Source organism: Homo sapiens, chromosome 5 (assembly GCF_000001405.40).
Source record: "Homo sapiens chromosome 5, GRCh38.p14 Primary Assembly".
NCBI classification, from domain to species: Eukaryota; Metazoa; Chordata; class Mammalia; order Primates; family Hominidae; genus Homo; species Homo sapiens.
Window position 1 is genome coordinate 36,170,246 of NC_000005.10, and position 25,729 is coordinate 36,195,974.

Sequence of the window (25,729 nt, forward strand, 5' to 3'; positions counted from 1 at the left end):
CCTGTGAGCTTAACTACACTCGCCTGCTTTCATCTAAATGTTGTTGATGAATAGTGTCTTACTGGTCTTTTTCTTCTGACGTTTTTCTCTTTTTCCAGTACTCTCGCAAAAAACTCAAATTTAGTGCGACTTAACCTTTCTGGGTGTTCTGGATTCTCTGAATTTGCCCTGCAGACTTTGCTAAGCAGCTGTTCCAGGTATGAAAGATGTGAGACTTGATTATAGACTCTTATGTCAAACGTAAAATTATCCCTCACATCTGTATAAAATGGGATGAACTTTTTGAGCTTTTTGTACTTTCCAGGCTCTTGATTTGGTGAATGCAAAATCTTTTGCCCTCCTAACTTTCTGTCCAAACTCAGGAGCCAAGTCAATTGAGTTTGCAAGTGATACTTGTATAGTGATCTCTTTTTTGTTTATTTGGAACTGTTAAAATAAGGGAAGTGTAGTAGTGTCTATCAACAGTATGGTTGTAAGAAATTTGCTCACACTTAACTGTACATTCAGGTTTTTTCCCCTATGGTATCTGTAGACCTAACTTACAATTTTTTATCAAATTTGGTGTTTTATAAATATAGACCGTAAATTTGGGCAATTCTATTAACAATATCTTTCATAATAATGTCAGCACATAAAGGGTACAGAGTTACAGATATTGCTAAGTGAGGGGAGTACATGCTTTTTGGAATACACAGTACTAGGCATATGTGTGTTTTTTAAAAATATCCCTTGGTCTCCATGGTACAGCATTTGAATCTGTGTCTTGTTAATGGTCCATTTAAAATAGATTGCCTCTGGATATGCGTGTTATCAGTGAGATCAAATGTATAGCCCTATATTTAGTCAGCAGTGCCAGAAGTGGGGAGTGGGGATTAATGGTTGTATTTTGTCTCTGAAACCCTCGTTTTTGCTCAGTTAGCAGAAGCACAGTAAGACGAAGTGGCTTTTTGCAATATCAGCATCTCTTTATTAGGAATCCTCAGTGCAATCCATCAATTGCGTAAAACATCCTGAGTGATTGTTCAGTCTGTGTTGGGTGGTTGGTAGTTTGAGAAAGCAAACATAAAAGACTGGCATTTCTACCTGCAGTACTGGAATAAGGTTTGAGCCATCAGGTGCTTCTCTCCATTTCGAGGAGGAGGCACATTCACTAAGGCCCTTCTGATCCCCTGGCAACTTTCAGGGGCAAACAGGGTATACTTAGGTGACTAAAGGTAGCTACTGTTAGAGAAGCAGGTGTTCTGTGCATGAAATGATAAGGAATCCATGGTTTTATATTTTCTTTGTTTGCAGTTTGAGGCAAACTCATTCCCGTGTGATGGTTTCATATTTTGTTTATTACCCCTCTTTTGTGCAGACTGGATGAGCTGAACCTCTCCTGGTGTTTTGATTTCACTGAAAAGCATGTACAGGTGGCTGTTGCGCATGTGTCAGAGACCATCACCCAGCTGAATCTTAGCGGCTACAGAAAGAATCTCCAGAAATCAGGTTAGAGCTTCCAAGCCTGGACCACTGAGGCCTTCACAACATAATAGATGAGATTCATTGAGCTTCTCCTAATCATTCCTCCACATAAGTTTTCTCATTTAATCCAGTGCATGTGTTAGTCCCCTTTTTCAGATGAGGTAGCTGCTAATCAGAATGGTTAGGTAAAGGTAAACAGCTAGTGAGCTAGAGCCAAGGTTTGAATTCAGGATCTAACAGTAGAAACCTTTACACTTGAAAACAATGTATTTTTAAGCAGAAAAACTTTTAATCAACTAAATGGTTAGGTAAACCCCAACATAAAAATACATAAATGTAGCATTTGATTAGTATTAAGTAGTGGTTGTTCATTAGGGGCTATTTTGTCTGTACGGGGACATTTGTCAATGTCTGGAGACATTTTTTATTGTCACAGCTGTAGGAGTGCTGATGGTCTCTCATGGGCGGAAGCCAGGATGCTGGTGGACGGTGTATAGGATGGAGAATAGCATGCACAATAATCTGGTCCAAACATCAGTTCCAAGGTTGAAAAACTATTATAAACTCTGTTAATAAGTTCATATTTATGACTTTTACTTTTTATTCAGTCCAAGAGGGCAACGAGGATTTTTAGATGAAAACAGGCATTAGAAGTCAAAGGTAGCAGGGAGCAGTCTTTAAAAACCTTAATATTCAGTTACGCTTTATTTTACTTGTATGTTAATGAGAAAATCTTGATTTGCAAAGATAAGTGATTACAAATGGCAAGTTTTTTAAATGGCTTCACCGTCTCAGGCCAACATTCAGTTTGTGGGCTCTACAAAACCTAGTTAAACCAGCAACACACATCAACCATATCTTGATGTTAGTACTAGCTTATTTGAGTGTGTTTTGTTTATTATAGTTTTTATTATTCTGAAAAAGATTTGAATCAAACATCTGCAGAATAGATCTTAAAATTTAAGTAGTATAAAACTACTGCTCCAGGACAGATGTCCTCTGGTAAGATGTATAAAGCTATAGAAAATAATTGCTAGGATCTCATGAGTGGGTAGAAATTCGAGTCTTTCACCTGTGCAAGGACTCAAATTTGGACTACTGCCATTCCAAACACTTGCATTTTCAGACAAGGTGAACACTTTCTTTAGCAAGCTGTAAAAGCAGCAATCATGTCTTCATTTCATACCACTCTCCCCACCCAGTATTTATAATTACTATTTTAAAACTGATCATAGTGTTATACAGTCATTTAAAAAAAATGTAAAATACAGAAAAACACAAAGGGAAGCAAATTATCAATAATCTTAACATCTTGCTAGGCTTTTTCCTGTACAAAAACTGTTTTTTTTTTTAATGGGACATGGTATATTAAATACTTCGTAATATGCTTTTTAACCCCATTTTCAGTGACTACATGATGTCATCATCAGTGGCTATGTGATAGTCCATCAAATAGATATGCAATAATTTATATTAAGTCAATAACAATATATGCAGTTGATCAGAATTCTAATGGACTTTCAGAATCTTCCCAGTTTTTCTCTCCTATAAACAATTTTATGAGTGACAGAGACAAATCTTTAGATGCATTTCTAAGGATAGATTCTTAAAAGTGGAATTGCTGGGTCCAGCATTAAGTACTATTCTCAAGTTTTGGATAGTTTCTGCCAAATTTTCCTCCAAGAAGTTTAAACTCTTCACCCACGAGCATCCTCTTAGTGTGAAATCCCATCACTCTTGGTTCTTCTCTGTCTGCAGGTGAAGGGAAGGCAGTGCCTTGTTTATATTTCTTTCCCACATCTGGATCTTTCACTGGTTTACTGAAAGATTTTCTGACATGAATCGAGGCTCTGGGTGCAAGGTTGAGAAACTGCTGTAGGCAAAGTGCTGTTGGTTTTGTCCAAATTTGGCTTAAAATCTTTCCCTTTGTTCCTCCAAGAAAGAACAGAGAGCCTGTTTACCGAGTTTTGGCAGAAATAGTAGGTATTAAAATGCTGCTTGCTAGACACATTCAGGACAGAGAGACAGACTGTAAATTGAAGTGTTAGTTTTTTAATTATACCATGGGGATAAAAAGTTTTTAATGTCATTAACAATAGCACACACCATTTCATTATATATGAGATAATATGGATTTGGTTTTAGCTCATAGACTGGTACCAGATGGCCTGGGTTCAAATATCCACTCTGCCATTTACTGGGTAGACTTGAGCAAGTTGCTAAACTTGCCTGTTCCTTAGTTTTCTCAGCAGTAAAATGGAGATAAGTAGAACCCATCTCTTAGAGTTACAGGAAAGAATAAATGAGTTAAGACATGTACAGCATGTGGAACATTTCTTGCCACATGGTAAGAGTTCAATTAGTGTTGGCTGTTAATACTGTTCCTTCCCCCACTACCCCCATCACTACCTTTCCATGGAGCAATGGATGAAGCACAGAAACATTTGGTCTTGGATTTGACCTTGACTTCTGTAGCTGAAATCATCTCTCCTTTGAAGTAACGGGTTGGATTAACGGGTGGTTTCTAAGATCCTTCTAGCTCAGGTTGGGTCTACTGTTTATGGTGAAATGAAGGGGACAGTGAAAAGGAAACCTTGGCAGTGACTACTGTTTACTAACTACTTCCTGCCCAGGGAGGACAGAGCTTAAGTGTGGGCCAGAGGAAACTAACCCTTTATCCCCCAATGTTTCGTTCTTTCTCCAGTGGTGTCAAAGTATGATTGCATCAGATTTTGCTGATGGCTAGTTGGCTGGCTAGATGATTGGTCCCTCAAAATTTTATTGTGTACTTTTTTCATTTTTTGGTCATTTATTAAATATTTATTGAGCACCTACAGTGATTGAACAAAACAGAGCCTTGAACAAAACAGAGAAAGTCACTCTTATGAAGATTACTTTCTAGTGGGGGAGCCAGAAAGTGAACATATTTCATAAATGTTATGAAAGGAGGTAAAAATGCAAGGACGAAGAGCAAAGCAGAGTAACCAGATAGAATGTGGCAGAAAGAGGACTACTTTTAGATGGAATGGTTAAAGACAGGGCCTCTCTGAGGAGACTGTACTGGACCCAGAGAACTGACTGAGTGAAGAAGGAATCCATATGCATATGTGAGAGAAGAACATTCAAGAACAAAGGACCAGTGAGTGCAAATACCTTGATATGGAACCAATGTGTGAGAGGGAGCAGGGAGAACAGTGAGAGGAGAAAGATGGCCAAGGGCTGTCTAAGCCAAGGCAAAAGCTTTGAATTTTTCCTAAGTGACATGGGATATGGGAAGCCATTGGAGTATTTCGAGCAGAGCAATATGACTGACTTCATTTTAAAAGACTCACGCTAGTGCTGTGTTGAGAAAAGGCTGTAGCGGGGAAGTATGAAGCAGGGAGACCAGTTAGCAGACTAGGCTGGTGACACTTAAGGTGGTAAGAAATGATCAGATTTGGGCACATTTTAAAAACCAACATCATGAGATTTGGTGACACAATGAACGTGGGATGTGAGAAAAATAGTCCACTATGATTTCAAGGGTTTTGGCTGAAGCCACTGGATTCGTGAAATTATCACTTGCTGAGATGGGAAAGAGTTTAGGGAAGGAGGAAATTTGGGGGAGAAATTGAGTATTTGATTTTAGACATAAATTTAGAGGCCTATCTCATATCCAAACGGTATGTTGAGGAGGCAGTTGAAAATGCAAGTCCAGAATTTAGGAGAGGGGATATACTTGTGAGACGAAAAAACCCTCAAATGTTAATGAAGTTTGCCTGTTGTTCTAAATAAGTAACATTTATTGATTCATTTTCTGATTGCCAAGTAGCTTACATGACTTTCTTCCAAATTCTGAAAAGTTGCCTGTAATCCAAACACCCTTGAATACTGCAGTTAACATTTTGGATGTATTTCCTTGCAGCCTTTTTTTTTTCTTCTCTCTTTCTTTCTGTGTATGTGTTTGTGTGTAAATGTGAGTTTGAGTGTGTTTTGACCAAGTTGAAATTATAACGCATTGTATATATTTTGTTTACAAGCTATCCTAGTATTTTTTTAAATGTATGAAATGTTATCAGAAAGCGTTTTCATAATGATTAGCAGTGTATTTCACGGAATGGATGAGGTTAACATATTAAACTAACTGGAGGAGGGGCTAATATAACTGTTGCCACATTGAATATATTCATACACATCTATATTTTTCTAAAAGTGGAATTACTGGGCCAAAAGTAAACTGTATAATTCTCTGAATTCTTTAAAAAAAAAAGAAAATCAGTTCACTATCCAAAAAAAGCAGGAATCAGTTCACTATCCAAAAAACGCAGGGTTCAGGCTCCTGAAAGCCTGCAAATAAAATTAAATATCTACCTGTGGTACATGGAAGACCTACTTTATGGTAGACCTACTTTATAATAGAATTTTTTTTCACTTGATGGCTGAGAAGAAATATTTCTAATTTTATTTGGTATTTCTTGCTCCTTTTTATTATCTTGGTATTTTGCAATGTAGATTTGTTCATGTTCATTGCCTATTTTTGATTTATCTTTTTTCTCTTTATATAAGATTAACTCACTGTTTAATATATGTTGAAAACATTCCCAGTTTTCTGATACTTTTTAAATTGTTTTAATATGGTAGTTTTAAAATTTTATGTAGTAAATTTATGTGTTCCCTATGTTTTCTTTTATGTTTAGAAATACCTTATACCAAGATTCAATTAAATAATTACCCTGAATTATTTATTTAGTAATTTTTAATATTTAATATATTATTACCCTAAATACAAAAATATTATTTTTGTATTTAGAACTTATTATGTGGAATGTATTTAAATATGTTATTTGAGTTGGAGAAATATTTTTTTCCAGTTGTAGTGGCAATATTTCTTTTTACTGATCCATTATTTCTCTTGTTGATCTGAGGTGCTACCTTTGTAATATATTGTTTGCTTATATATACTGGTGTTTAATTTTACTTTTTGCTTTTGTGAATGGGATTTTTTTCCCTATTATTTTTCCAGCCTGCTATTGCTGATACATAGATAAGCTAAAGATTGTCATTTTACACAGTTTTCTTTTTCGGATGATTCTCTTGGGCTTTTTGGGTAGAAAATTTTATGTTCCAAGATGATCATTTTTTCTTTCTAATAGTGTGTGGTTCTAATTGCATTGCCCTGAACTTCCAGCATGATGTTCAATGATAGTAGTGATAACAAATATCCTTGTCTTGTTCCTCATTTAATAGTGACCATCATGTTTTTTTGCTTTTCCTAGATCTCTCTACTTTAGTTAGAAGATGCCCCAATCTTGTCCATCTAGACTTAAGGTATTTTTTTATTTGTTTATTTTAGATCAAAAGTTGAAAAATCTTGATTTCTCATTAAATTGGGAAAGGATCATAATGTTGAAGCAACTAAACAGTAGGTTATTTCTGTCTTCTTTATCTAGGATCAATGTGTGATTTTCAATATCTTTTCTTCTGCCTTCTTAACAGTGATAGTGTCATGCTAAAGAATGACTGCTTTCAGGAATTTTTCCAGCTCAACTACCTCCAACACCTATCACTCAGTCGGTGCTATGATATAATACCTGAAACTTTACTGTAAGTATGTTTTGTTTTTAATGCTTAATAGAAGGCAGGAAACAACAGAGATGCCCCTTGGTGTGAAAATCCATTTTTATTAATAGACATATGAAACCGAAACATTAGTAATAAGTATACCACAGACTGGCTATGAAAGACCAGCAGAGTATTGCTTAAACTGGTGAAATTGAGTTGATCCAGATTGTTCACTAAACATTTATTGTTTAGCTGTAAGCAGTTTTAATTACTAGCTTGCTGTCTTAGTATCTATGAGAAGACTTAGCAGAGAAGCAGAAGATAACCTTTTCCTCCAGGAAACTTGAAGTGTAATTGGGAAGGCAGACCCAATGTGGGTTAGTGTCTTTTTTTTTTTTTCTTTCCAAATTTTTCGGATTAACTCCAGTTGATTCCAAAACTTTCATCTGGGCTTAAAGTTCTGTATCTTCTAGTGATGTAAGTCCTGGATAGTGAAGAAATTGGAAAGATATAAGCCTGTAGATGGTATGTATTGTAAGTCTGATACTGTTTTTGAACAGGGGCATGTTAAGGTCTAAAAAGTGAAGTGAAGTGACTTATTCAAACCTGATGGTGAGTTGGTGGCTGACCTGGATCTAAATCCTAGGTCTCCTGGACAGAGGCAAAATAGTCACTATCTAATCTAATAGTTTATACAAGGGTTAGTTTTACCTGCTCAGCAACTTCCACAGAATCAAGGGAGTGCAAGAAAGCAGCAGCCTGGTCCATCTTTCCTTTGGGAAACACCATACCCAACTCATCCTGGGAATCATATCTTGTTTGAAAAGGTTTTCTGCATTTCATTCCAAAGGGCTGGAAAAGTCTCCCTAATGGCAAATGTACATGTGTAGCAATTTTATTAAAAACCACAAGAGGTCAGTATCTTAGAGTTGATCAGGTGCCCAACATGTCTTGAATGCGGCTGCTGGACTCATTTATGTAGCTCATGAACTAAAAGTTAATTTAGCTTCCAGCTCCTAGGTAGGAAGGGTGGTGAATTTGAACAAAGAACTTTAGTCCTCAGAATCATAGTTTGAATCTTTTAAGTTAGTTTCAAGTATTAATGAATAAATCAGATACTTCAGCTACACAGAGTTAACTAGTAGAGTTAGGAAATCTGGCAGCTACGCATTTTAATTAATCATTTTTAAATTAATCTTGGGGTTCAGGGTCTGAGCTGGTATCTCATTTGGGAAAGGACTGCCTAAAATAGGATGGCAGGATTTACTTTCCCAGCTCTCAAATGTTGGGGTTTAAATTCATGCGCATGAAACTCTTATTAAAATCCCTGCCCTCTCTATTTTCTAGCATCCAGAACTCCTAGGAGCTTCTAGCGTCTACCCAAAAAGGCTTCTTTGTCATCCATTCTTTCCTGTCCTTGCCATCTGGCCTCCTGCTTCTTTGCCTGTGCAGCCCCCTGGGGAGTGTGGTGATCATTCTTTTTGGGTTGCTTTTCTCAAGAGAATCTATCCATGTGTCTTGCTTTTGTTCCTTCTCTGCAGAAAGAAAGAAGCTAAGCAGGTAATGACCCAAATGCTTTTTCTCAAGCAGAGGCGAGGGGAAGGCTGTGAGCTCTTCATTTTAATATTTTTATCCAGTGGGATAATAGTAATAGTAATTGCGATACCTGCATAATAATGGCATGGTAATACTTGGAGGCAGTGTGAATTGATAGTTACAAACACGGGTCTGAAGTCACAGACCTGTTGTGAACCTTCACTGTATTATTATTTCTTATTTGTACAAATCTTATGAAATAAGACAAACAGGGGCATTAGGAGTTTAGTTACAAGTCAGACCACTAGAATAGAGAAGAAGAAAGATCCTGTCCTTGAACATTAAGGTAAAGAGTATATTTCTTTAGGTATTGTGTAAATAGTACACTGATTTGCATTGTGAATCCTTTAGGATGAGTTTGTTGGTACCTTATGCTTAAAAGTTTCTTGAGATAAAATAAGAATTAGAATGACTCTAATTTCAATCATTTTGGCAGCTGATATATTTGAGGTTTATAATAAAAATTCCAGGATGTTTCCATAATAATTTCAAGAGAGCCATCTATGCTAAAGAACTTAAGGCTATTTATTTCTCGGAAGTGGGAAAATACAATTTGAATGTCTTTCTTCTGTAATATTTTAAAATACTTGGGAAACTATAAAGTTTTCTTCCCCAGGACCTATTCCCATTATATTTATTCCCTTACTTCTTAATTGGTCTTCTTCTCTATGTCTAAACTTCCTTCTAATTCTTCCCTATTTCTCATTCAAGTAAGAAACCCAAGCTGGAGGTAGTAAACTAATCTAAGATAAGACTAAAAGACTTCTGTGGTAGGAGCATTTGTAGTTGAGGCATTTAAGATTTTATAAGGAAAACAGGATTATTGTACAGATAAGGTAAGGAGCAATCCTGTGAAAGAGTTCATAAATATCTTTTATTTTCTAAAATTCAATATACATAAGACATTGGTGTGATTTTACATTTCTTACATTAGAAATAATGGCTCTTGAACTACTTATTTCTATTTGCTATCCCTTAGTTTGCTCTTCAGTCTCTTCCATTGTAGTTTTTAAAAGATGCTTGCAAATTTTTTATTCTGAGTTGTAGGTAATGCACATACCGGGGGCATTTTTTTTTTTTTGTCTCCTTAAAATTTTAGAGACTTTCTGGATTTTTGACTTGGAACTGGTTCTTCATCCATCATCTTATCTTATATAACCCCCTTATATATAACACCCGGGTGTGTTCTGAGAGTCTGTTCTTAATTTCTTTCCTCACCAAATCTCTTTCCCAATGCTGTTGCAAGAACATGTCCTCCTCTGCCATCTGCCATTCCTCCTTTTCTTACTCCACCTACAGTTTCTTCCCTTAAATATTCTCCAGTGCAGAATGGCTCACAATTTGGCTAATTTGGATATACCAGAACCAGAATTCTCATAGTAATTACAACGTTTCCCAAGTTTCACATGAGGGATTCAAAGTTGGAGCTGGATTGCTGTCATCGTAAGTGATTAAGTATAAGTATCTGTGTATACTGTGATCTTACTTCGACAGTGTTTCTACATTCCAGAAAGCAGTTTACTTAATGACAGCAATTTGTTCTTTCTGATTTTCTTTGGTTATATACCTTTAGATCTTATTGTCCCCTTGTGAACAAGCATATTTATTTCCCTTGGATAATGCTTTTATTTTATAAATTAGCCTTCATCTTGTACTCAGCTAACGTATATTAAACATTTGTGGGGTTTAAGACACCTTGTAGAATGTAGAATAAATACATTTAGGGGAGTAGTGGGAAGACTGGAAGAGCAGGTTAAACACGGAAGGTCTTCAGACTAGCTGAACAGCCTGGGTTCTGTAAACACAAGGGAAGCATCAAAGGTTTTGGAGCAGATGAATGACTAACATGAGCTAGGCTTTAGGAGGATGCCTTGGAAATTGGTATATAGAATAGGCTAGAAGGAAGAAAGACAGTTATAAGGAAAGTTTGGGGCTTTTTAAAAATAATTATTGACAATGTGAAAATATAAAGGATGTTTCTGACTTTAGGTAATTGATGTGCTCATTGATCTGTAGTAGGATTTTGTTGAAATTCCAAAATAAATGTTCCCTTTCCTGAGACTTTGTACTGTATGTCCCAACCTTGAGCAAACAGAGATGAGAGAGATGAATTTCTAGGCACATAGATCTGAGTTAAGAAGGAAAAAATCATTACCAACACCAAACAGTATTTACTTTGGAAAAACAGAATTTGTGAAACAGAATTTGAGAAACAGAATTTGTGAAACAGAATTTCACTGTTAACAGGGTTGAATTTCATCTAATGTGAAATACCTAAAGGGACTGGCTTATCTATGCAGAAAAAAAATGGTAATACGTAGGGAGGTAAGATGGCTATTACCTCCTATAAAGGGTGTGATTTTTCACCCATTGTCTCTACCTGTACCCAACTGTATAACCCTATCTAAAATATCTTAGGGAAGTCAGTGGTAGTTTTCATCACACATAATGGACTTGTTGACTATGAACCATTATTAAGAAGTTCATCAGTCCTGACAGCATCTCCCTTTAAGAGATGAGCCTAGTTCAAATAAAGGTCAAGTTCATATCCTTAATTTGCATGTAACCTGTGGTGGTTCCAACTGGTGCCGCAGTAAAACATTTGCTTTTACCATCACTCACTTGCTAGTTTCTTCTCATAACACAGTAACCCCATTCAGATCACTGTATAAATCACAACTGGAGAAAGGAAGCAAATATGGTTGGATTCTTAAATAAATCTGAGTTTCTAAGGTTATTAGGAACCTCATTCAATAAAATGCAGCAGTGTGTTTCCTAATGACATGTTGCTCAAGCTATATGGTCTGTGCTTTCCAGTTTAATTTGCTATTTTCTCAAATCATTTATTGTAAATTACACTTTCAGACTGCATTTTGTAGATGACACAAATTGTAAAATTTGGGTCATATAACTCTAGTCAAACAGTTTCCATAGATACTGCTATTCTGAAAGTCTTTTTCTTCCTTTCCAGTGAACTTGGAGAAATTCCCACACTAAAAACACTACAAGTTTTTGGAATCGTGCCAGATGGTACCCTTCAACTGTTAAAGGAAGCCCTTCCTCATCTACAGATTAATTGCTCCCATTTCACCACCATTGCCAGGCCAACTATTGGCAACAAAAAGAACCAGGAGATATGGGGCATCAAATGCCGACTGACACTGCAAAAGCCCAGTTGTCTATGAAGTATTTATTGCAGGATGGTGTCTCTTCTTTAGAACAGGGAAAATAGGCAGGAAGCCCAATTGCTGGAGTACTTAGCTAGTTTTATTCTTGGTTTTCCCTTTGCCTTCATTCTGCAAGTATACTAGGGAGCCATTTGAGAGGGAAAACTATGAAATCTTGCTTTTTGAAATGATTCTAAAAGCTTCTATCACTGCTTTGCTCTTAAGAGCCAAAGTTGTAGGCCTTTTGAAATTTTAGGAGAGTGAGCCTATAATTTCAAGATACCTTAAAGAGCAAAATTTGAGCCACCTCTTCCAAGTGCCCTTCTTACTAAGTCTATTCAGAATCAAGCTTAAAAATTACCACCAGCAAACAATCTTCATAGCCCATATAACTTTTATCTATTTAATTTTATAGTATTGCTTTATAAGACAGCTTAGAAGAACAATAAGCTATTTGTATTATGAGCTGAACAAAAAGAGAATCATAGGATAGTAGCGTCTGAGGCCATCTTTTCTAGGAATAGGAAAGAGAAAAATGTATTTGAATTTTGCCTTTAGATTTGAAATTAGGTTAATAGAAATAAGTAACCCCATGTAATTCACCTTAAAACTTAACAAAAGACCAAACATTACAAAACCCAGAGATATAGAATCAATATAGGATTTGAAGGCCCAGCAGACAGTTTTCTATGACAGGTTAATCTGAAGTATCCTGTAATGTTCATTAAGTTACTGTGTTTCCAGAATCTAAATTAGATGAGAAATATAATTGTGGTTTTCTAACTTGATAATCAAATTATGTTAACATGGGTCCTTTAGCTTTTAAAATGACTTGCTTTGTTTTAGAAAGGTGGTATTAATCCACTCTCTATTCTTGAAAATTTGGATGGGAGAATTCTGAAGTTGCCTGCTGTTTTCCTTTAGCGCTGAGGTTCTTAAGGTTACTTTTATATTACTCTGGAATCAAGTATTTTAAATTGTATTTTTTTTTTAAATGATCTCTCAGCAATAATTGTTTGAAACTATCCATATATAAGGTTATCAGACCTACAGTTCCCTAAGAGGAACTGCATGTTCTCTTCAATCAGAAATATACAGTAGAAGCAGGTATATCTTCCATGCAGTTTCAGTAGTAAGCACTACTTATACCTACATAAGAGTTAAAATCCAGATGTGGGACCTTTTGATACCATCAGTGATATATATTTTTTTAAACTGGTACAGAGAAGTGAAAAGATTAAATTCTACTTCTATTTTTTTTTTTTTTTTTTGAGACGGAGTCTCGCTCTGTCACCAAGGCCGGAGTGCAGTGGTGCGATCTCGGCTCACTGCAAGCTCCGCCTCCCAGGTTCACGTCATTCTCCTGCCTCAGCCTCCCGACTAGCTGGGACTACAGGCGCCCACCACCACGCCCGGCTAATTTTTTTGTATTTTTAGTAGAGACGGGGTTTCACCATGTTAGCCAGGATGGTCTCAATCTCCTGACCTCATGATCCGCCCGTCTTGGCCTCCCAAAGTGCTGGGATTACAGGCATGAGCAACTGCGCCCAGCCAAATTCTACTTCTTAAAAATCACAAAAACTAGTTTAAATTGATGACTTGTTCGTATGTTCAAAATGTAACAACAAAAAAAGCTAACACCAGTCATTTATATTAACTTTTTTTTTTTAAATCAAAAATTGTTAATGTTAGAAACATACTATGAAGTGCCTTTATCTGCTTAGACCTAAGGAAGATTTTAAAGTTGGGTTGCACAGGAAATGATGATGCTTCAATTTCTTAATAGTTAAAAAGTGCTAAATACTACTTGAAATTATTGTTTACAGATTAGTGACAAGAGCTGGGGTTAGGATCCGGTTGGACTCTGACATCGGATGCCCTCAAACATACAGAACTTCCAAACTCAAGTCCAGCCATAAGCTATTTTGCCAACATGTCAGAGTAATCTGTATTTTTGTATGTGATTTCTACTTTTATAGACTTGTTTTAAAACAATAAAACACATTTTTATAAAAATGAGTGCTTAAACTAAGTTGTATTCCTTTTTTCTTTCTCTTTTTTTAAGTGCTGTGGTTAAAATTTGAAAGCATTTAGTGTGGTATGCCATTTGGCTTAGATACCTCTAAATAAGACTCTTCAAAACAGAGCCCTGAGATGGTCCTTTTTGACCCATCTACTTCATATGCTTGTCACATTAAAAAAAAAAGTTTATAATGCCTTTATAAAAGGGGCTAATACAGTCTTGTTATCTTTTTTTTTAAATTATACTTTAAGTTCTAGGGTACATGTGCACAACGTGCAGGTTTGTTACATATGTATACATGTGCCATGTTGGTGTGCTGCACCCATTAACTTGTCATTTACATTAGGTATATCTCCTAATGCTATCCCTCCCCTCTGCCCCCACCCCATGACACGTCCTGGTGTGTGATGTTCCCCTTCCTGTGTCCAGGTGTTCTCGTTGTTCAATTCCCACCTATGAGTGAGAACATGTGGTGTTTGGTTTTTTTGTCCTTACGGTAGTTTGCTGAGAATGATGGTTTCCAGCTTCATCCATGTCCCTACAAAGGACATGAACTCATCATTTTTTATGGCTGCATAGTGTTCCATGGTGTATATGTGCCACATTTTCTTGATCCAGTCTATCATTGATGGACATTTGGGTTGGTTCCAAGTCTTTGCTATTGTGAATAGTGTTGCAATAAACATACGTTTGCATGTGTCTTTATAGCAACATGATTTATACTCCTTTGGGTATATACCCAGTAATGGGATGGCTGGGTCAAATGGTATTTCTAGTTCTAGATCCTTGAGGAATCACCACACTGTCTTCCACAATGGTTGTACCAGTTTACAGTCCCACCAACAGTATAAAAGTGATCCTATATCTCCACATCCTCTCCAGTATCTGTTGTTTCCTGACTTTTTAATGATCGCCATTCTAACTGGTGTGAGATGGTATCTCATTGTGGTTTTGATTTGCATTTCTCTGATGGCCAGTGATGATGACCATTTTTTCATGTGTCTCTTGGCTGCATAAATGTCTTCTTTTCAGAAGTGTCTGTTCATATCCTTTGCCCACTTTTTGATGGGGTGGTTTTTTTCTTGTAAATTTGTTTGAGTTCTTTGTAGATTCTGGATATTAGCCGTTTGTCAGATGAGTAGATTGCAAAAATTTTCTCCCATAGTGTAGGTTGCCTGTTCACTCTGATGGTAGTTTCTTTTGCTGTGCAGAAGCTCTTTAGTTTAATAAGATCCCATTTGTCAATTTTAGCTTTTGTTGTCATTGCTTTTGGTGTTTTAGACATGAAGTCCTTGCCCATGCCTATGTCCTGAATGGTATTGCCTAGGTTTTCTTCTAGGGTTTTTATGGTTTTAGGTCTAAGTCTTTAATCCATCTTGAATTAATATTTGTATAAGGTGTAAGGAAGGGATCCAGTTTCAGCTTTCTACATATGGCTAGCCAGTTTTCCCAGCACCATTTATTAAATAGGGAATCATTTCCCCATTTCTTATTTTTGTCAGGTTTGTCAAAGATCAGATGGTTGTACATGTGTGGTATTATTTCTGAGGGCTCCGTTCTGTTCCATTGATCTATGTCTCTGTTTTGGTACCAGTACCATGCTGTTTTGGTTACTGTAGCCTTGTAGGATAGTTTGAAGTCAGGTAGCATGATGCCTCCAGCTTTGTTCTTTTTGCTTAGGATTGTCTTGGCAATACGGGCTCTTTTTTGGTTCCATATGAACTTTAAAGTAGTTTTTTGCAATTCTGTGAAAAAAGTCATTGGTAGCTTGATGGGGATGGCATTAAATCTATAAATTACCTTAGGCAGTATGGCCATTTTCACGATATTGATTCTTCCTATCCATGAGCATGGAATGTTCTCCCATTTGTTTGTGTCCTCTTTTATTTTGTTGAGCAGTGGTTTGTAACTCTCCTTGAAGAGGTCCTTCCCATCCCTTGTAAGTTGGATTCCTAGGTATTTTATTCTCTTTGAAGCAATTGTGAATGGGAGTTCACTCATGATTTGGCTCTCTGTTTATCTGTTATTGGTGTATAAGAATGCTCGTGATTTTTGCACATTGATTTTCTATCCTGAGACTTTGCTGAAGTTGCTTATCAGCTTAAGGAGATTTTGGCTGAGACGATGGGGTTTTCTAAATATACAATCATGTCATCTGCAAACAGGGACAATTTGACTTCCTCTTTTCCTAATTGAATACGCTTTATTTCTTTCTCCTTCCTGATTGCCCTGGCCAGAACTTCCAACACTATGTTGAATAGGAGTGGTGAGAGAGGTCATCCCTGTCTTAGGCCAGTGTTCAAAGGGAATGCTTCCAGTTTTTGCCCATTCAGTATGATATTGGCTGTGGGTTTGTCATAAATAGCTCTTATTATTTTGAGATATGCCCCATCAATACCTTATTGAGTTTTTAGCATGAAGGTTGTTGAATTTTGTCAAAGGCCTTTTCTGCATCTATTGAGATAATCATGTGGTTTTTGTTGTTGGTTCTGTTTATATGCTGGATTACATTTATTGATTTGCATATGTTGAACCAGCCTTGCATCCCAGGGATGAAGCCCACTTGATCGTGGTGGATAAGCTTTTTGATATGCTGCTGGATTCGGTTTGCCAGTATTTTATTGAGGATTTTTGCATTGGTATTCATCAAGGATATTGGTCTAAAATTCTCTTTTGTTGTGTCTCTGCCCGGCTTTGGTATCAGGATGATGCTGGCCTCACAAAATGAGTTAAGGAGGATTCCCTCTTTTTCTATTGATTGGAATAGTTTCAGAAGGAATGGTACCAGCTCCTCCTTGTACCTCTGGTAGAATTTGGCTGTGAATCTATCTGGTCCTCGACTTTTTTTGGTTGGTAGGCTATTAATTATTGCCTCAGTTTCAGAGCCTGTTATTGGTCTATTCAGGGATTCAAGTTCTTGCTGGTTTAGTCTTGGGAGGATGTATGTGTCGAGGAATTTATCCATTTCTTCTAGATTTTCTAGTTTATTTGCGTAGAGGTGTTTATAGTATTCTCTGATGGTAGTTTGTATTTCTGTGGGATTGGTGGTGATATCCCCTTTATCATTTTTTATTGCGTTTGATTCTTCTCTCTTCTTTATTACTCTTGCTAGCGGTCTATCAATTTTGTTGATCTTTTCAAAAAAACCAGCTCCTGGATTCATTGATTTTTTGAAGGCTTTTTTGTGTGTCTGTCTCCTTCAATTCTGCTCTGATCTTAGTTATTTCTTCCTTTCTGGTAGCTTTTGAATGTGTTTGCTCTTGCTTCTCTAGTTCTTTCAATTGTGATGTTAGGGTATCAATTCTAGATCTTTCCTGCTTTCTCTTGTGGGCATTTAGTGCTATAAATTTCCCTCTACACACTGCTTTAAATGTACCAGAGATTCTGATATGTTGTGTCTTTGTTCTCATTCGTTTCAAAGAACATCTTTATTTCTGGCTTCATTTCGTTATGTACCCAGTAGTCATTCAGGAGCAGGTTGTTCAATTTCCATGTAGTTGAGCAGTTTTGAGTGAGTTTCTTAATCCTGAGTTCTAGTTTGATCACACTGTGGTCTGAGAGACAGTTTGTTATAATTTCTGTTCTTTTACATTTGCTGAGGAGTGCTTTACTTCTAACTATGTGGTCAATTTTTGGGATAAGTGCTATGTGGTGCTGAGAAGAATGTATATTCTGTTGATTTGGGGTGGAGAGTTCTGTAGATGTCTATTAGGTCCAGTTGGTGGAGAGCTGAGTTCAATTCCCGGATATCCTTTTTAACTTTCTGTCTTGTTGATCTGTCTAATGTTGACAGTGGGGTGTTAAAGTCTCCCATTATTATTGTGTGGGAGTCTAAGTCTCTTTGTAGGTCTCTAAGGACTTGCTTTATGAATCTGGGTGCTCCTGTATTGGGTGCATATATATTTAGGATAGTTAGCTCTTCTTGTTGAATTGATCCCTTTACCATTATGTAATGGCCTTGTCTCTTTTGATCTTTGTTGGTTTAAAGTCTGTTTTATCAGAGACTAGGATTGCAACCCCTGCCTTTTTTTGTTTTCCATTTGCTTGGTAGTTCTTCCTGCATCCCTTTATTTTGAGCTTATGTGTATCTCTGCACGTGAGATGGGTCTCCTGAATAGAGCACACTGATGGGTCTTGACTCTATCCAATTTGCCAGTCCGTGTCTGTTAATTGGAGCATTTAGTCAATTTACCTGTAAGGTTAATATTGTTATTTGTGAATTTGATCCTGTCATTATGATGTTAGCTGGTTATTTTGCTCGTTAGTTGATGCAGTTTCTTTCTAGCATTAACGGTCTTTACAATTTGGCATGTTTTTGCAGTGGCTGGTACCGGTTGTTCCTTTCCATGTTTAGTGCTTCCTTTAGGAGCTCTTGCAGGGCAGGCCTGGTGGCGAGAAAATCTCTCAGCATTTGCTTGTCTGTAAAGGATTTTATTTTTCCTTCACTTATGAAGCTTAGTTTGGCTGGATATGAAATTCTGGGTTGAAAATTCTTTTCTTTAAGAATGTTGAATATTGGCCCCCACTCTCTTCTGGCTTGTAGAGTTTCTGCCGAGAAATCCACTGTTAGTCTGATGGGCTTCCCTTTATGGGTAACCCGACCTTTCTCTCTGGCTGCCCTTAACATTTTTTCCTTCATTTCAACCTTGGTGAATCTGACAATTATGTGCCTTCGGGTTGCTCTTCTCGAGGAGTTTCTTTGTGGTGTTCTCTGTATTTCCTGAATTTGAATGTTGGCCTGCCTTTGTAAGTTGGGGACATTCTCCTGGATAATATCCTGCAGAGTGTTTTCCAACTTGGTTCCATTCTCCCCGTCACTTTCAGGTACCCCAATCATACATAGATTTGGTCTTTTCACATAGTCCCATATTTCTTGGAGGCTTTGTTCGTTTCTTTTTACTCTTTTTTCTCTAAACTTCTCACTTCATTTCATTCATTTTATCTTCAATCACTGATACCCTTTCTTCCACTTGATCAAATTGGCTACTGAAGCTTGTTCATGCATCATGCAGTTCTTGTGCCATGGTTTTCAGCTCCATCAGGTTATTTAAGGACTTCTCTACACTGGTTATTCTAGTTAGCCATTCGTCTAATCTTTTTTCAAAGTTTTTAGCTTCTTTGCCATGGGTTCAAACTTCCTCCTTTAGCTCGGAGAAGTTTGATCATCTGAAGCCTTCTTCTCTCAACTCGTCAAAGTCTTTCTCCATCCAGCTTTGTCCATTGCTGGCGAGGAGCTTTGTTCCTTTGGAGGGGGAGAGGTGCTCTGATTTTTAGAATTTTCAGCTTTTCTGCTCTGTTTTTTCCCTATCTTTGTGGTTTTATCTACCTTTGATCTTTGATGATGGTGACGTACAGATGGGTTTTTGGTGTGGATGTCCTTTCTGTTAGTGTTCCTTCTAACAGTCAGGACCCTCAGCTGCACGTCTGTTGGAGTTTGCTGGAGGTCCACTCCAGACGCTGTTTGCCTGGGTATCAGCAGCGGAGGCTGCAGAACAGCGAATATTGCTGAACAGCAAATGTTGCTGACTGACCGTTCCTCTGGAAGTTTCATCTCAGAGGGGTTCCTGGCCGTGTGAGGTGTCAGTCTGCCCCTACTGGGATGTGCCTCCCAGTTAGGCTGCTCGGGGGTCAGGGACCCACTTGAGAAGGCATTCTGTCCATTCTCAGATCTCAAACTCTGTGCTGGGAGAACCACTACTCTCTTCAAAGCTGTCAGACAGGGACATTTAAGTCTGCAGAGGTTTCTGCTGCCTTTTGTTTGGCTATGCCCTGCCCCCAGAGGTGGAGTCTACAGAGGCAGGCATGCCTCCTTGAGCTGCAGTGGGCTCCACCCAGTTCGAGCTTCCTGGCTGCTTTGTTTACCTACCCAAGCCTCAGCAATGGCAGGCACCCCTCCCCTAGCCTCGCTGCTGCCTTGCAGTTCGATCTCAGACTGCTGTGCTAGCAGTGAGCGAGGCTCCATGGGCATGGGACCCTCTGAGCCAGGCGCGGGATATAATCTCCTGGTGTGCCGTTTGTTAAGACCATTGGAAAAGCACAGTATTAGGGTGGGAGTGACCCGATTTTCCAGGTGCCATCTCTCACAGCTTCCCTTGGCTAGGAAAGGGAATTCCCTGACCCCTTTCACTTCCCAGGTGAGGCGATGCCTCACCCTGCTTCAGCTCATGCTCGGTGTGCTGCACCCACTGTCCTGCACCCACTGTCCGACACCCCCAGTGAGACGAACCCGGTACCCCAGTTGGAAATGCAGAAATCACCCGTATTCTGCGTCGCTCACACTGGGAGCTGTAGACTGGAGCTGTTCCTATTCGGCCATCTTGGAACCACCTCACCAGGCTTGTTATCTTTAAAGTGCTTCCAGTAGTAATATATTTACAAAACATTTGAATTCAAGTGACAAAGGAGTATTATCAATAAAAGTCAGCAGCATTTTAAAAATATATTTGATCAGGTTATACTATGTGTTTTATTGTCATTCAGAAACTATTTGAATGTTCACTGTATGCCCAGAGGCCTTCCAGGAATTCTGTTCCTTTTGGACCCTTCCATTCGAATGGTAGAATGGTGATTCTTGAATATCACCCAATTGTGCTGGTCCTATCACCACTATGCCTTTTTTTAAATGATGAAAAACGTCAAACATATGCAAAAAAAAAAAAAAAAAAAAAAAGAATATGATGGACCCCATCTTCCAGTTTCAACAGTCATTGATTCCTGGCCAATCTCACTGAATCCATGATCTCAACCATTCCCCTCCAATACAGATAATTTTGAAGCAAAACCCAGACCCATAATATCATAACTATTTTGGTATATACCTCTAAAAGTTAGGGATTTTCCTGCGTGAATCCTGAAGCATTGTATATCAAGATGGTGTTGACAATTCCTCAGTTGTCTCGTGTTTTCTTCAATGGGTTTATTTTGCTCAGGATCCAAACATGGTGTACATACTGCATTTGATTTAAATTCTCTAAATCTTAAATTTAGGGTTTCTTCCTTTCTTTCCTTGTAATTTATTTATTGAAGAAACTATGTTATCTGTCCTGTGTTCTACATTCTGGATTTTGCGTCTATCCCTGGAGTAATAGGTTAATCTTTCCCCTATTCCCATAAACTGGTGGTTAGATCTAGCAACAAAAAGCTCTAGACCAGGGGTGATTTTCCCCCACCCAGGAGATACTTGGTAACATCTGAAGACATTTTTGATGGTCACAAGAGAAGTGCTATTGGCATACAGGCAATAGAGGCTAAGGATGCTGCTAACCATCCGAAAACAGGAAAGCCCCCTACAACAAAGAATTGTCTGGACAAAATGTCAATAGTGTCAGTGCTCCAGAGGCTTGTATCATCAAGTTCTTTTTTTTTTTTTTTTTAGCCAGGAGACACTTGATAAGTAATATCCTGTTCTTCTATTCAGATACATACCTGTCTGTTTCATTTTCACTGCTGTCACTTTACCTGCTCTTGGGCTCTTGATTCCTAATAGACCCTATCCACAAGCTCCAGAGACATGAGGGACACTGGCCAAGTGCAAAACTTTATTTCTGGATAAAGCGCTTGTGTCCTATCCTGGTGAACCCAATTACACTTCAACATTTATTGACCATCCACAATGTGCAGGATACAACAGCCCAGGAGAAGATGCAGAGCCTATGAGGAAACAAAGGCAAGTAGTCTAGAGACTGGGCAAACTAGAAAGAAACCTCTTGTCACTGCATACCCTAACCATGGAACAAGCAAGATGACAACCTCCTCTTTCTTTACTATTCCTCCCCACCTAGCCAAATATCCCAGAAAATCAAAGTTTTCTTCACCAAGAGACTAACCCTTCAAGATACAAGTCAAAGCCCTAAAAGCCTATACTAATATTATGGATAACTCAAAACGTAACTGCTTTGAGTTACTATGTTTTAGCAAATCTAAATACTAAAATGCCGGTATTTTTACATTTCTCTAAATACCAGAATATCTAAATTGTAATTTTGAGCATTAAAATCACTATATTTAAGGTATTCAGATTAACACTTAAAATATGCTTTTCTACTTTTAGCTCATGTAGTCAGTGATTTTCTTTAAAAAAAGTCTTAAAGCCCGTAAGACTTAAAAACTCTTCATACCTTAATGTAGAAAACTTAATAAGCCTTCTCACTGACTTATGCCCCAATCCCTTGAGTACTTTTAATGTTAAAGTCAAGAATAAAATGCCTTTGAAAAAATAAAATTGAACTATTCTTTAGTTAGACAACTCATTAGTACATTTACTCTTATCTCCCCCACCATTATATTTAGGTGTTGCATTATCCCTGGGATCTTTTCTGCATAATTGTCTTAGTAGATGCTATTCTTAAGTATAAGGATGCATAAATAATATTGGTACAATGGAATGAATTTAAGTGATTTAAATTCTAAATGTACATTATTTTCACAACTAAGCAAAATATATAACGTATCCTTAAACTTGTATTTGACAACTTTTTCAACTCAAGTGGATATTTTACAATAAAAATGTGTTACCTGGCTCTCTTTCTGCTTATTAAAAAGTGAAATCAATGTAGTAAAACATGTAATATGATTTAATGTACAGGGGCCATGAATGTAAATGCACAAGGAGTATCAAAAATATTAAGTCAAAATTATCTGAAGAGCCTACACTGACCAGGTAAGCACTTCACCCTGATTTAATAACTAATCATTCTATGTCAAATGTTAACAGTGAATGAAGTCAACAGGGCACAGAATAATAATACACAGCAGTGGGGAAACACTTCTGAAACATAACATTTTGTGAAAACTAGTTTTCAAATAATGACCCCTTGAGAGGGAAATAAGAAATGTTAAAAAGAAGAGGTAACAGTGGAGTAATTTTATTCACATAGGGTTGCGATTAAAAGGTTAACTCATTCAAACACATTTTTGCTATGCTAACATTCCTTTGCCTCTTATTCTTACAAATAAACCCCCATCACAGAGCAGAAATGTTAGAAATTATATCACAAATGGAGCACAATAAGTATTTTTAAAACCTTTTAAAATATGGCTTATAATTTTACACAGCAAGTTACCTATTAATATGTTACATATTAACAGATCTATTTGGACAATCAGATTTCCTTGAGATTAAGGATGGAGTTGGCATTTTTCCTTTAAGAAGGCATTTTAAGGCCGGGCATGGTGGCTCATGCCTGTAATCCCAATACTGGGAGGCCGAGGCAGGCAGATCACAAGGTCAGGAGTTCGAGACCAGCCTGACCAACATGGTGAATCCCCATATCTACTAAAAATACAAAAAATTAGCCAGGCATAGTGGTGCCTGCCTGTAATCCCAGCTACTTGGGAGGCTGAGGCAGGAGAATCGCTTGAACCTGGGAGATGGAGGTTGCAGAGCCGAGATCATGCCACTGCAGTCCAGCCTGGGTGACAAAGCAAGACTCCGTTCTCAAAAAAAAAAAAAAAAAAAAAGAAGGTATTTTAAGCCTGTTAGGGGAGGTTCTATAGTATGGAGCTTCTTTATAAAGTGGTATCTTATGTATATCAAAAAAAAAAAGCCAGATCAATCTCTGGGAAAACACTACATTTTAATGTATTTCTATCTGATATGTCATAAATTCTTTGCTATGAATGTCTACGCAGATACTTTAAGAAAAATTGATTCTCTGGATATACATCAAAACCTAGATTAACTTTGTACATTAACATTTATTTTAAAAAATTGATAAGAACAACATGTTAAATATTGGCAAAACTAAGAGCACTCAATTCGACTATCCGTCCAGCTTTCACAGAATTTACTTCTGAGCCCACAAGACTCAAATTGTATAAGGATAGAGTCTGTTTCATTCATCAACATATCCAGCACCTGACATAGTTTTACATGGCACAGAGTGGGTGTTCAATAAATATTTGTCAATGATTGAACAGAAATTTTCAGCACCAAATGAAAGAAACACATGACTTTGAACAACGGCACGAGAATACCAACTGTTTGATTATGCAACGACAGGATCTTTTGGCAAAAATTCTAGGATTACTTATAAGTAGATCAATAATTAGATAATAATTTCCTCCAAAAATAAAGGAATTCTCATGGGGAAAAAAAAAAAGTCCTAACATCTTATCCTAAAAGCTATTCTGTAAATCTTGGAATATAAGCTAGGTGAAAACCACAATACTAAGGAAGGCAATTCCAAAACTACTGTGTTTTACATATTTATTAAAGAATCCATTCTTTCTGATAATACTCCTAACACAGGTGAAGATATTTTTACAATATTTTACCAAACTCCTAATAGAAAATGTCTAATCAGTTCATCCTTTTAGTCCCTGAATCCATGTTTGAGCATTTTAAAGATGGAAGAAACCTGTAAGACTCATATCATTTTAAAAAAATTGACTTAAAACACTTATTGGATAACTAATACATTTGTAACAGCATCATGATTTGTTTTGCTATCTGTATTTCACCCAGAACTGCTGAATTACAGAATGAAACTCAAATGAAAGCATTCATCTATAATTTCAAAAATTATTATTTGAAATTTTTAAATCAATAGTCATAACATCATCGTGTTCCGAAATTAGAAAATTATTAGCACATATACAAACATATTTACCTATGTCAATTAGGTCAATGTCAGGATTTATCAAAATTCTCTGTCTTGAAAATTTTTTCAAAATCTTGGTTTTCAGGTACTATAAAAAATATGCACTAATCAAATGATATGTGTTCAGTTCTGACAATCCCACAATTAGGAGGAAAGGGAAGGAAAACACACTTATACAGTTAAGTTTCAAATCCTAAATATTTAGTCCTTTATTTAAGCCTGCCCCTCTAAATTTAAAAAGGTATCAGCACTCTTGGTTACCAATTGTAAGCAATATAAAAATTTCACTGGTATCAATTCTAATTGGTTCAGTCCATCCATTTTCTTATACAGTGAATGTCTTTTTTTCTATCAGAATCCAACAGAAGAATAATGCAAATCTCACTTCTGAGCCCACGGGCAAGCAGTCTCAACAATAACCAAAAAATGTCACTTTACGACTGGTAGTCTGTTTCTGAAGTAAAAATATTCTCGCCAGTAATCAAAATTTGTCATGAGGAAATCCTTCACTGTTCAAGAAGCACAGTTCGAAGCTCATCTTCTTTATTGATCATCATCGAAGCAATTGCACCATCATTAAACTCAAAAGAAGTTCCTCCATCCACAACCATACAGGCATCCCAACAACGAGAACGAACACAAACCCTAGGCAGAAGGAAATATCTCATTAAATAGTAATAGTTTTCTTAATAGGTTATTTTAATCCTGAATTTTAACCTAGCAGATCATTTGGCCTCCATTTTAAAAATCAAGTTGTTCTCTGGTATGAGAAAATTAGTCACTATGTAAATATATGGGTATATTATGAAGGTCTCAAAACGTTCAGGATGGCACCATTCGCTCAAGCATTTAGCAGTAAAGAAGTGCAGACCTGACTGAACTCACAGGCTGTTTTCATATGATTAAATGCTGAATTACTAACATTACAAATATTAAGTATTGAATAAGAGTGTTAACTATTTTCATGTAAAATTTGTACTTAAAATTTTTACTTAAGTATAACACATATACAGAAGAGTTGGGTACATGTAATTATGTATACAGGTATACACCCAAATTATTAATGTACAGTTCAGTGAACACACTTATGATCACCCAACTCAGGAATCAACTCTTACCCAGCTTGCTGGAAGCTCCCTCACTGCCTTCTCCCAGTCACTATCCCTGCTCCCTCCTCAAGCATACGCACCTTCCTAATTTCTATCACTGCAGTAGTAATAGCTTTGTCTGTTCTTGAGCTTTATATAAATGGAAGAATATAATATGCACAGTGGTGCCTGTCTTTTCCTCAAAAGTATGTTTGTGAAATTCAGCCATATTAGTACATGTAATAGTAA

The 25,729-nt window shown here is 37.1% G+C and overlaps 2 protein-coding genes across 13 annotated transcripts in view; one reads left to right on the plus strand and one right to left on the minus strand.

Annotated features, from left to right (window-relative positions):
• SKP2 (S-phase kinase associated protein 2) overlaps positions 1-23,285 on the plus strand; it is a 41,420-nt gene extending 18,135 nt beyond the window's left edge. For 2 of the 5 annotated variants that reach the window (NM_005983.4, NM_001243120.2), the window contains 5 exons: positions 99-197; positions 1,358-1,488; positions 6,720-6,771; positions 6,940-7,047; positions 11,573-14,074. In NM_005983.4, the coding sequence (NP_005974.2) occupies positions 99-197; positions 1,358-1,488; positions 6,720-6,771; positions 6,940-7,047; positions 11,573-11,786 (604 nt within the window). In that variant the 3' untranslated portion in view covers positions 11,787-14,074. Of the gene's footprint in view, positions 1-98; positions 198-1,357; positions 1,489-6,719; positions 6,772-6,939; positions 7,048-8,352; positions 8,566-11,572; positions 14,075-22,375 lie in introns of those variants that run through there. The other 3 variants (XR_001742203.3, XM_047417536.1, NM_032637.4) reach the window with 3 other exon arrangements.
• NADK2 (NAD kinase 2, mitochondrial) overlaps positions 22,344-25,729 on the minus strand; it is a 49,691-nt gene continuing 46,305 nt past the window's right edge. For all 8 annotated transcript variants that reach the window (NM_153013.5, NM_001287341.2, XM_047416706.1 and 5 more), the window contains one exon: positions 22,344-25,037. In NM_153013.5, the coding sequence (NP_694558.1) occupies positions 24,899-25,037 (139 nt within the window). In that variant the 3' untranslated portion in view covers positions 22,344-24,898. The remainder of the gene's footprint in view (positions 25,038-25,729) is intronic.